General features: G+C 42.6%; 1 protein-coding gene across 12 annotated transcripts in view, besides 1 other annotated feature; it reads right to left on the reverse strand.

Moving 5' to 3' along the window:
• The window catches only part of CACNB4 (calcium voltage-gated channel auxiliary subunit beta 4), a 266,397-nt gene that overhangs the window by 184,776 nt on the left and 66,125 nt on the right, over window positions 1-15,496 (reverse strand). The gene's annotated exons all lie outside the window — the stretch shown is intronic.
• Window positions 8,585-8,654: an enhancer, noted in NCBI's record as "active region_16642". NCBI's record gives its function as "activates an Ori minimal core promoter by ATAC-STARR-seq in GM12878 lymphoblastoid cells {active_cell/tissue: GM12878}" and the evidence as "EXISTENCE:reporter gene assay evidence [ECO:0000049][PMID:35858748]".

The raw sequence follows: 15,496 nt of genomic DNA on the forward strand, positions 1-15,496 counted from the left end.
AAATACAAAAAATCAGCCGGGCATGGTGGCGGGTGCCTGTAGTCCCAGCTACTTGGGAGGCTGAGGCAGGTGAATCACTTGAACCCAGGAGGCAGAGGTTGCAGTGAGCCGAGATCATGCCACTGCACTCCAGCCTGAGTGACAGAGTGAGACTCCGTCTCAACAACAAAAAAAAAAAGAGAAAAGCAGAAAATAAAAGTCCTAAAACAATAAAGCTCTCATATACTGTATTCCTTAGAATTTCCTCAGACCTTTGATCAAAGACTGTTTCTTTTAATTTTACACACAATTCTTTTCTTTTTTTTTTATGGAATTTCGCTCTTTTGCCCAGGCTGGAGTGCAATGGCATGGTCTTGGCTCACTGCAACCTCTGCCTCCTGGGTTCAAGCGATTCTCCTGCCTCAGCCTCCAGAGTAGCCGGGATTACAGGTGCTCACCACCATGCCCAGCTAATTTTTGTAATTTTAGTAGAGACGGGGTTTCACCATGTTGGCCAGGCTGGTCTTGAACTCCTGACCTCAGGTGATCCACCCGCTTCAGCCTCCCAAAGTGCTGGGATTACAAGTGTGAGCCACCATGCCCGGCCTTTTTTACACACAATTCTAAGAAGCTATTTAGTTTTCAAAATCACAGAAGATTAGAAGCGAAAATAAACAAAAGATGAAATGGGCTGGAGGAATTAGGGACCTCAGGCAGAAACACAGCCAGCAATGAAAGAAAGCAGGTAGAAAAGGGAGGGAGGAGGCAAGAGAAGAAAGTTTAAAAATACCAACATTCAAAGAAGCACTAAGACCTGGGAGCATCAGGGTTGAGACCCTGAGCCCTCTACACACCTGAAAAAAAGGACTATTTCTCATAACGTGGTAAAAATAATAATAATAATATTCCTGATGTTGCACCATCCAAAAACAAAAAGAAGGGGTAGTCAAATATTTATTAGATTTTGCAGACTATTTTCAAAAGACAAATAAAAAGGTCAAGCACAGTGGTTCATGCCTGCAGTCCCAGCACTTTGGGAAGCTGAGGCAGGAGAGTTACTTGAGCCCAAGAGTTCGAGACCAGCCCTGGCAACATAGTGAAACCCCATTGCTACAGAAAATACAAAAATTATCTGAGCGTGGTGGCAAGCACCTGTAGTCCTAGCTACTTTGGAGGCTGAGATAGGAGAATCACTTTGAGCCCGGGAGAGCCAGGCTGCAGTGACCCATAATTGCACCACTGCACTCCACCCTGGGCAACATAGTAAGACCCTGTCTCAAAACACACACACACACACACACACACACACACACAGACAAAGGTATCAAATATTTGAGGAAACTTTCCATTTAAATAATTGATACTACAAAAACTGGAGTGCTGAAAAGCTAGTATGAGGTCATTCTCTCTTAGGCAAGAGAGCTGCTAAGAAATTTATTGATGGGGGTGGGTGAAGTCAAGGGGGAAAGGTTTGGTTAGTGATTGGTATCTGGGGGCCAGGAGAGGGGAATTCACACACCACAGTGTGTTTTGTCCTCTGCTGCTTGGAAAATGTAGGTTGCATTCACAATGGCACAGTGGCCAGGCTTTCATGTTGAATAAAGACCAGTATTGCATTAGTGCTTGCACCTGAGAGTATTTTTGACTTGTGCACAGGCCTTTCAGGACAGTTACCCAGATAGTAATTTTCAACCACACTTCTTTGCCTTCAGTAAAATTGGATGATAGAAGTTATTTCAGATCATTTCTGATTACCTCTATGCCTCAGGAATATGATCTTATATATAAGCATCTTTTCAATCTCACTTCTACGTTTGATGGTCAGTTAGCACTAATTCAAAAAGTTAGATGTATATGAGTGTATGATAGATGAGATAGCAAAATGAAGGGAAATTATTCTCAGATTTTGAGCTCCCTATATCTGGCAGTAATGGCACATCATAGCTACTCAGTACATGTTTAATTGGTGAATGATGGGTGGATGGGTGGGTGGGCAGATGGATGAATGAGTGGGTGGATGGTGGATGGATGGATAAGTGGATACATGAACAGGTGGATGACTGGAAAGACTAACGGAAAAAATAAGTGAATAAAAGTGTTTTCTGATAACAAGAAAGATGATATCTCCCCAAAAAATGGAAATAAAGGTTAAAAGAGGTTAAATGGCAAGTGGACTGAACAGAGTTAAGATGACCACCAAATGTGTGTGTGCATACACATAATTGTGTATATACATTTATACAAAGGCTCAGGGACAGAGGTGCTCCTCAATGAAATTAGTTTTCTCTTTCTTTTATTAATTATTCTGGAAATGTCAAACAACTCACACAACTGAGACAGGCAGGAGGACTGTGCAGTGGGTATATGGGCAAGTCAGCTGTACCTATGGTTGCCAAAAGAGGAAGAGGAATCTTTAGATTGAGAGGCAGTCAGAATGAGAGTGAGAGGGCAAAGAAGGCCCAGAAGCAGATGAAGCTCTTAAAAACTCAAGGAAAAACCACTGTGTTTCTATGCCTCCACTTCCAGGATTTTCACCCTGCAGCCTATGTGTACATTCCCAAATCAATGTCTCTGGAACCTAGAGATCCTGGTCCAGTCCTGTTTATTGTGGGCTCTACCCTTTAGGGAAAGGAGAGCCTTTGCAGACTAAGAAGTACCCAACAGCATCGATTTGAGATGCTGGGGCCATGACAGTTTAATTGAAAGAGGCTATCAGGCATTTCTATGTCCATTTGGGTTTTGATGGGATCAAGATGGTGGGTGGCATTCTTCCCCTATTCTTCCAGGATTTCTCCCATTAATGGCTCCTGGGTGAGAACTGGATAAGTGCCATTCTCTAAAGGCTTCCAATTTGGCAATGAAGTTGTGATGATGCTTCAGAGAGCATTTCAGTATAGGGTGAGGGGGCAAGAAGCCAGGTGCTCCTGTCTGAGAAGTGAATTGGACGTGAGGAAATAAAGGAAATGGGTAGAAGATTTCTCTTTTGTGATGTCTGATGATAAAGAAAGAAAAGAAAGATCCAGCAGTAGTTTGAGAAGGAAATTGTGGGGAGTTAGTAGGTTTTTGTGTTTACTATTCTTTTGATTTCAGAATGGGATGTACTTTGGTGCCATGAAGCCAAAGGAGAAGTTCTCAGAGGACAGGGAAAGACTGAAGTTGAAGAGCATAACCAACAGTGATAATTAACAGGTGGCGATGCTGGTAACGGGGTTAGAATTGAGAGCACACCCAGAGGAGGAAGCCGGGGAAAGGAAAGCACAAGGCATTCCCTTGTCTGAAACACTGCTGGAAGCAGGCAAAAACCTAACCTCGGGCACCTAAATTGTGCTTTACATAAATGTAAATATTTAATATCCTCCACCTGCATTCAAGGCTTATCCCCAAAATCAACGCTTAAAATAACTCGGAAACTACTAGCACAGAGACTGAAGAAAAAAATAACTCTAGCTGGGTGCGGTGGTTCACACCTGTAATCCCAGCACTTTGGGAGGCTGAGGCGGGTGGATCACGAGGTCAGGAGATTGAGACCATCCTGGCCAACGTGGTGAAACCCCGTTTCTACTAAAATACACCACACCAGGTGTGGTGGCGAGCGCCTGTAGTCCCAGCTATTCTGGAGGCCGAGGCAGGGGAATCGCTTGAACCCGGGAGGCGGAGGTTGCAGTGAGCAGAGATTGCATCACTGCGCTCCAGCCTGGTGACACAGCAAGACTCCATCTCAAAATAAATAAATACATAACTCTGAAACATTAAAACAATTTTTTTTCAAACTATATTCTCTACCTTATATTTAAGCAAGCAGAAAAACACATAATCCATTTTAGAATGATTTCAAATTTAAAAAAATTATAGGTCAGATACTCAAAGGGTTAAAACTTCAAATAAGGAGTAATGTTACCCTTCTGGCAGCCAAAGTTTGACTCAATAAAAACAGGCATATTCATTGCATCAACCCATAATCTCTTAACATTTGATTTGCCTCAAAATTTCAGTAGACTATTGGTGAAAACATGGTGAAAAATCTCTTCATATGAAAATATTTTGCTTTTGAAAATACTGTCAAAACTTGCATAAATATTTGACATTCATTCTAAATAATAAAACAATGTCTCTTTTTCCCCTTCTCATACGTATGTAAATCAATGATGCTTTATCAAGGATAAAAATACCATTAGATTTAGACTTCACAGAATTGGAGACAACTCACAAGGAACTAGACACTGAATCTTAAACATGAAAGGAAGAAAACTGAAAAGCTAAAAGTAATTTGATGTTTCTTTTTTTCTTTCTTAATTCAACTCTCACATCTAACTCTTAAGAAAGGATACAGCTTATTCTTTTATCTTGCTGAACATTGGCTTTTTACGTTTTATCTTCTTCTTGAAAAGATTTTCTCTACTAGAATAGGTATTTAAAGTCAAGGCTATATACATTCAAGAAGTATAAGCGTCTAATCTTTAAACATGTCATTTTGATCCAGCATCCAAAGTTGTATTAAAAAGCACATTTACAGATAAGTTCCTTCACAGTTGTAGTGACTGCACATGAGCTCATCAAGTAAGCCTTGGGGAAACAAAGAACCTCTCTCCTCCTCTCTTTGGCAATCGGCTTATTGCCTATTACTTGCATCTCTCCCCTTCAACCACCTCTGCATCATCTTCAACCAAATATACACCACTCAAACTGCTACCCTTAATTTCACTCCTACAAATAAGCCCTGTTTGTTTACTGTTCACCATTCATTATACCATGAGTGAAGGACAGAGATGAATCATACTCAGCCCGTAGCCATCAAGGAGAAGTGGTGGAGGGAATGTGAAACCAATAACTATTTCACAAAGGACACAATCCATGTCTCCAATGATATAAAAGCGAAGTGCTTCAGAGTGCTTTGCAAAAAGCAACTAATTTAGTCAAACACAATATAAAAACATCAGCAGTAATCAAGAATAATCCCTATTGCTACAATTTTTCTAAAATTCCCTGGTTTTAAGTTGGACAAGAAGTGCAATATTCCTTTCAAAGAGATACCAGCATGTCACAGATCTCTATTTTTAAAATATGCTTGATTTGCATATACGAAAGCATGGGCTTTATTTTAATGACCTGCAATCTCTACATTTGTTTCAGTCCTCCATGCAATATGCATGTTTACCTCCTACACTTAGACTCTTGGTATGATTTTTCCTTAATGAAATAACATAAAGCAAAGAATCATAGAAAGCATAATATTCTACTGGGATCCACAGCACCCCCATCACCTACAATGTTGTTGCCACAACTCTCCTACTTGATCATGTACAGGACTCAAAACTGTAATCATTAAAACCCAGATGATCAGGGTAAAGGAATTTAGGGTTGTTTTGAGGTTGTTTGACAATATTTACACTTGGAAAAGTTAAGGAACATATTAGTCTGTTTTCACACTGCTACAAAGACATACCCAAGACTGGGTAATTTATAAAGAAAAGAGGTGTCATTGACTCACAGTTCTGCAAGACTGGGAAAACCTCAGGAAACTTACAATCATGGTAGAAGGGGAAGAGGCATGTCTTACATGGTGACAGGTGCAGGGGGTCCATGAGGGGGTGAGAGAAAGGAAGGGGGAAGAGAGAGAGCATGAGCGAGCACAAACAAGTGAAAGGGTAAGAGCCCCTTATAAAACCATCAGATCTCGTGATAACTCACTATCAGGAGAACAGCATGGGGGATACTGCCCCCATGATCCAATCACCTCCCACCAGGCCCTGCCCTCAACACGTGGGGATTATGGGGATTACAATTCGAGATGAGATTTGGGTGGGGACACAGAGCCAAACCATATCAAGGAGGCCCAAGAAAAATAAAACTGAAATAAGTTTGGACAAAGAGAATGCGCTCTGGATAAAGGCCACCGTAAAAGTGAGAGGTGCTTTTTTTTTTTGGTCAGACAAAGTCTCACTCTTGTCCCCCCGGCTGGAATGCAATGGCGCGATCTCAGCTCACTGCAACCTCTGCCTCCCGGGTTCAAGCAATTCTCCTGCCTCAGCCTCCCAAGTAGCTGGGATTACAGGCGCCTGCCACCACGCCCAGCTAATTTTTGTATTTTAAGTAGAGACAGGGTATCACCATGTTGGCCAGGCTGGTCTCCAACTCCTCATCTCAGGTGATCCGCCTGCCTCAGCCTACCAAAGTGCTGGGATTACAGGCGTGAGCCACCACACCCAGCCAGTAATAGCATTTAATATGAATTTCTGGACTTACATTTTAAATAGCTTTCCTCCACCGAAGCAATGTGTGAAAACAACAACTTAGGCGTACAACTCAACGAATTGAAAACATTTATGTTATCACAAAGTCAAAACAAGAAACTCTAAAAGCACAGATCAATTAGAACTGTGTCCTGGAGGCACATATCTGTTTACCATGGTGACAATTTACATTTAAGATGAAGAAGCACAATGAATGGATTGTGGTAGGAGTGCTTAAAATATCAGGAGCACCCTAACATGTTTAGTTTAAGAACCAGTGTTGGCTGGGCACAGTGGCTCACGCCTGCAAGCCCAACACTTTGGGAGGCTGAAGGAGGAGGATTGCTTGAGGCCAGGAGGTCAAGACCAGCCTGGGTAATATAATGAGACCTGTCTCTACAAAAAATACAAATAAAAATTAGCCAGGTATGGTGTCACGTGCCTGTAGTCCTAGCTACTCAGGAGGCTGAGATGGAAGGACAAACTAAGCCCAGGAGTTTAAGGTTGCAGTGAGCTATGAATGCGTGCCACTGTACCTCTGTGCCTGGGCAACAGAGCTGTCTCAAAAAAAGAACTAATTGTTTACCAGTTCAAGGTAAATTGAGCAAAATACAAAGTGGTTAAAAAATGAATATATGCAGACTGATTTTGTAATTATTTAGCTGACAATGGCTACTCTTGATCATTTCTGTTTGTCTGTTTCTTTTATATTTAAGTAGCTTCCATAAAGCCTTTGCATAGACAACAATGTAATTTTCTTATTGGATAGCCCTAAAAAATGGCACTAAAAGATTATGTATTACTTTGGCTTTGAATTGTGAAACAAAGCAGTAAGAAATACTTGCCCCAATAGTTGCTTACTAACATAGCATACCAACTATGATAGGGATCCACAGCATCATTGTATATTTCCCCACAAGCAAATCATTACACAATGGAAGGCTGCTACACCCTTAGGGACTTGCCATTGTTTGCAACAATATGGTGGGCATCACACATTTAAATATTGCAAAACCAGGGCTAGGCGTGGTGGCTCACGCCTGTAATCCTAGCACTTTGGGAAGCCAAGGTGGGCAGATCACCTGAGGTCAGGAGTTCAAGACCAGCCTGGCCAACATGGCGACACTCCATCTCTACTAAAAATACAAAAATTAGCCAGGCGTGGTGGCACGTGCCTGTAATCCCAGGTACTCGGGAGGCTGAGGCAGGAGAATCACTTGAACCTGGGAGGCAGGGGTTGCAGTGAGCCAAGATCACACCACTGTACTCCAGCCTGGGCAACAGAGTGAGACTCTGTCTCAAAAAAATAAAAATAATAAATAAATTTTGCAAAACCAGAAATCTGAGGCCCGATATTAACTTTCAACTAATTTGTCATTTTGGCTAAATTATTTGCAAATACTAGCTTATCTATTGCTAGACAGTGAGCAAATTCTATTCTCCTAATCCTACACTACCTCTGAAACCTCTTCTTTCATATGTGTAAATTAAGTTTGATAGCTTTCCTGAAAACAGGAAATTGTTCAAAAGACTTAATTTTTTCTTTCCTGTCATAAAAAGTGTAATAGCTCAAGCTTCAGAGGCGAGAGCTGGGGAACGGTGGAATGAGAACCAAGAAAGACAACGACATTTTCTCTCAAACTGTCTACTTCAGACAACCTTATTCCAGATATGAGCACAAACTGGACTCGCTGCTAGCTCACAGCCTCTATTGTAAGCATAAGAAAGAGCAGAAATAAGACAAATATGCATTGTGCCTTAAATGCAAAGGAAGTGGCTGTAACACTAAAAGAATGATTGCCCAGGGGCCAGATTAAATAAAAAATCTAGGAGTTTGGAATATCTCAAATCATCTATGAAGTACAGAAAATATTTTGTTATTGTGACACAACAGCCTCTCTTCTAAAAGGAAAATAAACTTCAGGAAATTGAACTTCAAAGATGCCACTGTTTCAGTCATCAAAATTGGACATACCGTACTGTGTATTTTAAAGGAATAGTGCCCCCGTGTGGTTTTTGACAAGATTTCAGAAAATGTTCAGCGTTGTCTCAGAAGTCACAGTTACACTTGTTATACAAGAAACAGTGAATTTTTCTTGTGTGGATTTATTTTTAAATGTGATTACAGATGTGTTTGCAGTATAGTAGAAAAACGTCAGAGCTGTGAAGAGCTGTGTTTGCAGCGGGAGGGTTGCTCCATCTATCTCCGTGTTTAGTAAAGAGGATGTGAGAACAGGACGTGCACAGGGCGCCCCCTGCAGGTGCTGATGCAGCCGACACCTCTGGAGGCGCAGGGCCGAGGCCACCACAAGTCACTTGGCATGAATGTCCACAGAGCTTCCTAGGAGCTACCAGAAGTGAACCACATCTCCCCTCTTACCTGCAGTGGGTTCACACACTCTGCCTTTTCTCGTTGTTGTGAACAAACTGACCAAATCCCTTACAGACCGGCCCTTCCACTCGAGCACTGGATCTTACTCCAGGACAGGGCCCCAGCAATTTTCCTCCTTCCCTCCTGAATCTTCAGCGTCTTCCTTTCCACTGGACTGTTTCCATCAGCGTCAACATATAAACATGCTATCATATTAATAAAAACCCTCTCTGGGCTCCACTTCTCTAGTCCCTTTTTTTTTTTTTCTTCTTCTTTGAGACAGGTTCTCGCTCTGTCACCCAGGCTGGAGTGCAGTGGTGCCATCTCTGCTCACTGCAACCTCTGCCTCCTGGGCTCAAGCGATTCTCATGCCTCAGCCCCCTGAATAGCTGGGAATACAGGTGCATGCCACCACGCGCAGCTAATTTTTGTACTTTTAGCAGAGATGAGGTTTCTCCATGTTGGCCGGGCTCGAACTCCTGACCTCAGGTGATCTGCCTGCCTCGGCCTCCCAAAGTGCTGAGATTACAGCCATGAGCCACTGCACTCGGCCTCCACTCCCTTTTACTGCTATAGTACCTAGAAGAATTGTCCATATTAACTGACTCTAACTTCAATCTTTCCATTCTCTCTTGAACCCATTCCAATAAGGCTTTTCTGCTCACTACTCCAGACCAAAACTGGTCTTACTGAGGTCACCAATGGTATCCATATTGTTAAGTCCATTGGGGAATCTTGGGCTCATCTAACTTGACCCATTGACAGCATTTGACACAATTATCTTTCTTTTTTTTTTTTGATACGGAGTTTCACTCTGTCACCCAGGCTGGAGTGCAGTGGTGTAATCTCAGCTCACTGCAACCTCCACCTCCTGGGTTCAAGCGATTCTTCTACCCCAGCCTCCTCAGTAGCTGGGATTACAGGCACATGCCACCATGCCCGGCTAATTTTCGTATTTTTAGTAGAGACAGGGTCCACGTTGGCCAGGCTGGTCTCAAACTCCTGGCCTCAGGTGGTCCGCCCACCTCAGCCTCCCAAAGTGTTGAGATTACAGGCGTGAGCCAGGGCTCCCAGCCACATTCCTCCTTTCTTAGAATCATTTCTTCTGTTGGCTTTCAGGCACCTCCTCCCATTTTTCTGGCCACTCCTTCATCTCCTTTGTATTGTTTCAGCAAATATCTACTGAGAGCCTCTGACTGCCTGGGGCAGTTCTCAGCTGTGGAAATTGGATGCTGAACAAATCAAAGAGCTTACAATCTAGCAGAAGAAACTGTAATTAGATAGATTTTAAATATAAAATCAGGTATTCACAAGTTATGGTCAGGAAAGCCTCCCTGAGTTTTCAAGCTCCTCCCCTGCCACCTCCCCTCCTGACTCACACCAAGGGAAGTGACAGGAAAGCCATGTGCTACCTCTTTGGCTCCAGTGGGAAGCTCAAACCACACAAGCTTTGGCCCCAGCCCAAACCACTGACCACCATAAAAGCCAAAGCCGAGGCGGGCGGATCACGAGGTCAGGAGATCGAGACCAGCCTGACCCACACGGTGAAACCCAGTCTCTACTAAAAATACAAAAATTACCTGGGCTTGGTGGCGCACGCCTATAATTCCAGCTACTCAGGAGGCTGAGGCAGGAGAATCGCTTGAACCCGGGAGGCGGAGGTTGCAGTGAGTCGAGATTGTTGCCACTGCACTCCAGCCCGGGCGACAGAGTGAGACTCCGTCTCAAAAAAAAAAAAAAAAAAAAAAAAGCCAAAGCCAGTTGCCCTTGAGGCTCTCAAGCCATTTTCTAACCTGCCTGAGAGCCTGCCCAGCTCTCCTCAGAGAGCTTCGATTTGTGAGTAACAGATCTTTTTATACCTTCTTAGTGCACAGGTGGCACCCTCAGCCTCAATATCACAACTAAATTTTAGGTCAGAGGTTGACACCTGCTCCCTTCTACAAGGGCAATCACAAGACAAGGATCGCCTGAGCAGAAACCTAATCAAATGAGGGGATGAGGGAAGAGCAAAGAGGGCATGACCTACAATCCCCTCTAAACTCAAAGCAACAATTTAGGACTGGGAACCCCAGGAATTCAGATGATGGATACTGAACCAAAGGGTTGTGGATTTGTTCATGATTACTGCCATCTCCAGACCAGCAAAGGACACAACTGGGAAAAGCTGCACTACAAAATTTAAATTACCTAAAATATGGAAGTGGAACATGAACAAGTACTTCATCAGGGCCCAGATTTACATGTGCCCCGAATGAGTCAACATGAATTCTCCCGACACCCACTGATACCTTCGTGTGTAACAGCACAAGCCTAACTAGTTCTACTGTAGCCTGTGGACAAATCTCTCCATAACTGCACCTTTCAATACTTAACCTATATGATTTCTAGATAATGATATAATCATGTAATCATGTTATCACAATGATTATATATAACCATATCATTTAAATTTGTCTTTCTGCGAAAGAAGAAGGGAGTATTATTTTAATTTGTTTTCCTTGGAATCTGACCAAGGCTGAGACCAAATGAGCAATCTGTTGGTCAAAAACATTTCATTTATAACCACGTGGTGAACAGCTTGCAGTGAGATTTGGGAGAGTCACAAGGAAAGGAGGAGCAGATCCTTGCATACAGTGTTTAAAATCTAATAAGCAACAAGGAGCTCACACAAGTGGGTATTAGCCAAAACATGATAAATATATACAAATGCTCCAGCTATTTTTGTTGTGTACAAGTGCTAGGGATGGAAAACTAAAGAAAGTATTTGTCCAAGAAAGCTTCATAAAGGATGGCACTTCTGAGTAGCTTTGAAGAAGAAAAATCCAAGTAGCTTGGGAAGACATTCCATCCAGAAGAAATGGATTAAGGCCAAGAAGATAGAGTGTGTTGGTGACATGGAAACAAAGGCATGTTATGGACTGAACTGTGTCCCCTGACAAATTCATATGTTAAAGACCTAACCTCCAATATGATGGTATTTGAATGTATTTGGGAGGTAATTAGATTTAGATGAGGTCATGAGGGTCTTATAAGGACACTAATCCCATGATGAGATTAGGGTTCTTATAAGAAAAGAAAGAGCCCAGGGCTAGGCGTGGTGGCTCACGCCTGTAATCCCAGCACTTTGGGAGGCTGAGGTGGGCGGATCACGAGGTCAGGAGTTCGAGACCAGCCTGGCCAACATGGTGAAGCCCCGTCTCTACTAAAAATACAAAAAATTAGCCAGGTGTGGTGTTGTGCACCTGTAATCCCAGCTACTCAGGAGGTTGAGGCAGGAGAATTGCTTGAACCCAGGAGGCAGAGGTTGCAGTGAGCCAAGACCACGCCACTGCACTCTAGCCTGGGCAACAGAGCGAGACTCGATCTCAAAAAAAAAAAAAAAAAAGAAAAGAAAAGAAAAGAAAAGAAAAGAAAGAGCCCAGAGTTTGCTCTCTCTGCCACATGAAGACACAGCAGGAAGACAACCACCTGCAGATTAGGAAGAGGGTCTGCTATGGTCTGAATGTTTGTGTCCCCTCAAAATTCACAGACTGAAATCCTAACCCCCACGGTGATGGTATTAGGAGGTGGGGCCTTTAGGAGGTGCTTAGGGCATGAGGGCAGAGCCTCATGAAAGTGATTAGTGCCTTAATGAAAGAAGCCCTGGATTGACCCCTTGCCCCTTCTACCATTTGAGGACACAGTGAGAAGAAGGCACCATCCATGAACCAGAACGTTGGCCTTTGGCAGACACCAAATCTACCAACACCTTGATCTCGGACTTCCCAGCCTCTAGAACTGTGAGAAATAAATTCCTGTTGTTTAAGCCACCTGGTCTACAGTATTTTGTTGTGGCATCCTGAGCTGACTAATACAGTCATGCATCATGATAACAAGAAAAGAGCAAATTACACAAACAGGTGCACTGAGTAGAGAATGCTGAAGTGCAAATTCAAGAAGCCTCATTTTCTTTTTGAGGCAATTGTGAGCACTCTTACCTTCTTTTTTTTTTCTGATTACATTTCTACTCTTCACTTTATTCACTATTTAGTTGCTTCTAAAATAGTTTGAGGATTATATTAACACAGTCTTGAAAAAATAAAATTCACACATAGTCAAATAACACTGTAGGACATGTTTGTTAAGACAAAAGAAACACAACATTGAAAATACTTGGACATTTTTCATGCTTATAAGACACTAGATTTATGTTTACATTTTTTCATCAATATTAATAGTATAATTCACTATGTATAGATGAAATTTTACACAAGATCATCATTAATTTTTACAGATATGATCTCATAATTTTAGAAAATTTTGTTTCCATTGTTATTGAAAAGAATTTTATGTATTTATTTATTTTTCTTATACTTTAAGTTCTAGGGTACATGTGCACAACGTGCAGGTTTGTTACATATGTATACATGTGCCATGTTGGTGTGCTGCACCCATTAACTTGTCATTTACATTAGGTATATCTCCTAATGCTATCCCTCCCCACTTGACAGGCCCCAGTGTGTGATGTTCCCCTTCCTGTGTCCAAGTGTTCTCATTGTTCAATTCCCACCTATGAGTGAGAACATGCAGTGTTTGGTTTTCTGTCCCTGCAATAGTTTGCTGAGAATGATGGTTTCCAGCTGCCTCCATGTCCCTACAAAGGACGTGAACTCATCCTTTTTTATGGCTGCATAGTATTCCATGGTGTATATGTGCCACATTTTCTTAATCCAGTTGGAACCAACCCAAATGTCCATCAATGATAGACTGGATTAAGAAAATGTGGCACTCTCACCTTCTAAAATTGATACTGATGTCAAGCAAGGTTGGGGAAAGATGATTCATTCACTGCACAGCCTCAGCCCTGGGCAGAAAACACAGCAGTAACAGGGAAGTGGATACAAGCAGTCCAGGAGAAAGGGTACTTGGGGTAGACAGGCGGTATTGCCACGGGACTAGCAAGATATTTTACAGATGAAGAAATAACAATTTACAGAGAAACTTCCTTCCAGAAAGAAAAAGAGGAACCAAGAGAAGAATGACCATCATCCTGATGTGCCCAGAACTCTTTCAGTTTTAGCACCTAATATTGTACATCCTGGGAAACCCCTCAGTCCCCAGGACTGTTGGTCACCCCACAAAGGACACTTCACAAATTATTAAATCTGAACAAGTAACAGGTACAAGATATTATGATGATGACTTAATGACCGAATAAGACTCTGAGGGTAAATCAAGATTTAAATTGCAGTTACGTGTTATACAATGCATGTAGTTCAGGCTGGTAGGAGGACCTTCCAGAAACTGGAAACATGGGACTCTGAGGATGAGAGAGCACACGCAGGTGAGCGGAGACTTCTTCTCCTCCTAATATCCCACTGTTGACGGGTGCTGTGTTATCTGTACTGTGGCCCCTCTGCAGCACAACCTGAGGGAGGAAGGCAGGTCAGACACAGCCAGGGGCTTGCTCAAAGGCCTGGGACCAGGCAGAGGAGGATCCACAGATGGAGCTCAGGTCTCCTCATCCTTAATCCTAGGCTTTCTCCCCTGCCCATCAGCCCCTCCCGGCCGCCATTAATCCTCGGATTTCAGAGTCCTGATGGCCTCTAAGGAGTGAGAGGACAGTCAGCAGGGTCTCTGCTAGACCCTGAAGAGAGACCTGGAGTTAATGGTAGAGAACTAGGCAACAGGAAAAAGAGGAGGTTTTAAAAATTATCCATATTTTTGAAAACTGATATTTTCCTCCATTACTAGAAAACTGCCCTTTCTGTTGGCATTAGGCTCTCTAAAAGGGAAGCACCGTGCTGACAGTCTTGCCAAGCCAAGGGTGAAAGCCTCACAGCCCGTGGCTTGCTTGAACGAAGGCTCCATCAGGGGACAGCAAACTCCCTCATTTCATATTCAGGCAAGAGCGGAGAGCAACAGAGCCTTGATGATTCGAGTGTCTGGATCCTTCTATAGTGTGGGGAAAGGATGTGGCAAATAGAGAGAGAGAAAAAAGGAATAGGAGGCACATGACCAAGTCTGATTTTTTCAGACCTTCTGTTAAAACTGCCCCACAGATGGCTTCAAAATATAGAACCAGAGACTGTGGAGAGCTGGAAGGAATCCCCTTCCCCCCGTCCATTATCTTTGCTCCACGGATAAGAAATTGGCCTGAGAAGGGAAGGGACTGACCCAGGCCACACAGCCAGGAAGGGGCAACAGCCATGTCTCCTGACTCTCAGTGTAACATTTTTTCCCCTAAAATACATTGGACCAAAATCTACTTAGCAGCCCATGGAAATGAACAAGTAAATTGTTAACTTGCTACTAATTTTAGCTATCAACTATTGATGGTGGCACATCTAACTCAGTCGGTCATGATTTTAAGAAAGCCACAATTAATTACAAATTCCTTAAAAAACACAAATAGAGACTATGGTTTAACCATATATTACCGAGACATTTTAATACAACTTTATTTTTAATAATAGGGAATTCAAAAAAATCTAAATGCTTTTTTGCTTAATGCATTTTCTCTCTCCAAAGAAAGTCTCAATATACTTTATATGTTTCCATCTTAAAAAGATTTTTTAGGCAGGGTGTGGTGGCTCATGCCTATAATCTCAGCACTTTGGGAGGTTGAGGCAGGAAGATTACTTCAAGACCACCCAGGGCAATATAGTGAGACCCCCCATCTCTACAAAAACAAAAAAATTAGCTGGGTATGTTGGCATACGCCTATAGTCCTGGCTACTCAGGAGACTGAGGCAAGAGAATTGATTAAGCCCTGGAGTTCAAGGCTGCAGTGAGCTATGATTATGCCACTGCACTCCAGCCCGGGCAATAGAGCAAGACCCTGTCTCTTAAAAAAAAAATAAATAAATAAAAAGGTAGAAAAATGAACTAGTTTGGTGTAGACAGGTTCCCCTGCAGAGGTTCTGCTTCAGGCCTA

This window comes from Homo sapiens, chromosome 2 (genome assembly GCF_000001405.40).
Source record: "Homo sapiens chromosome 2, GRCh38.p14 Primary Assembly".
Taxonomy (NCBI): Eukaryota; Metazoa; Chordata; class Mammalia; order Primates; family Hominidae; genus Homo; species Homo sapiens.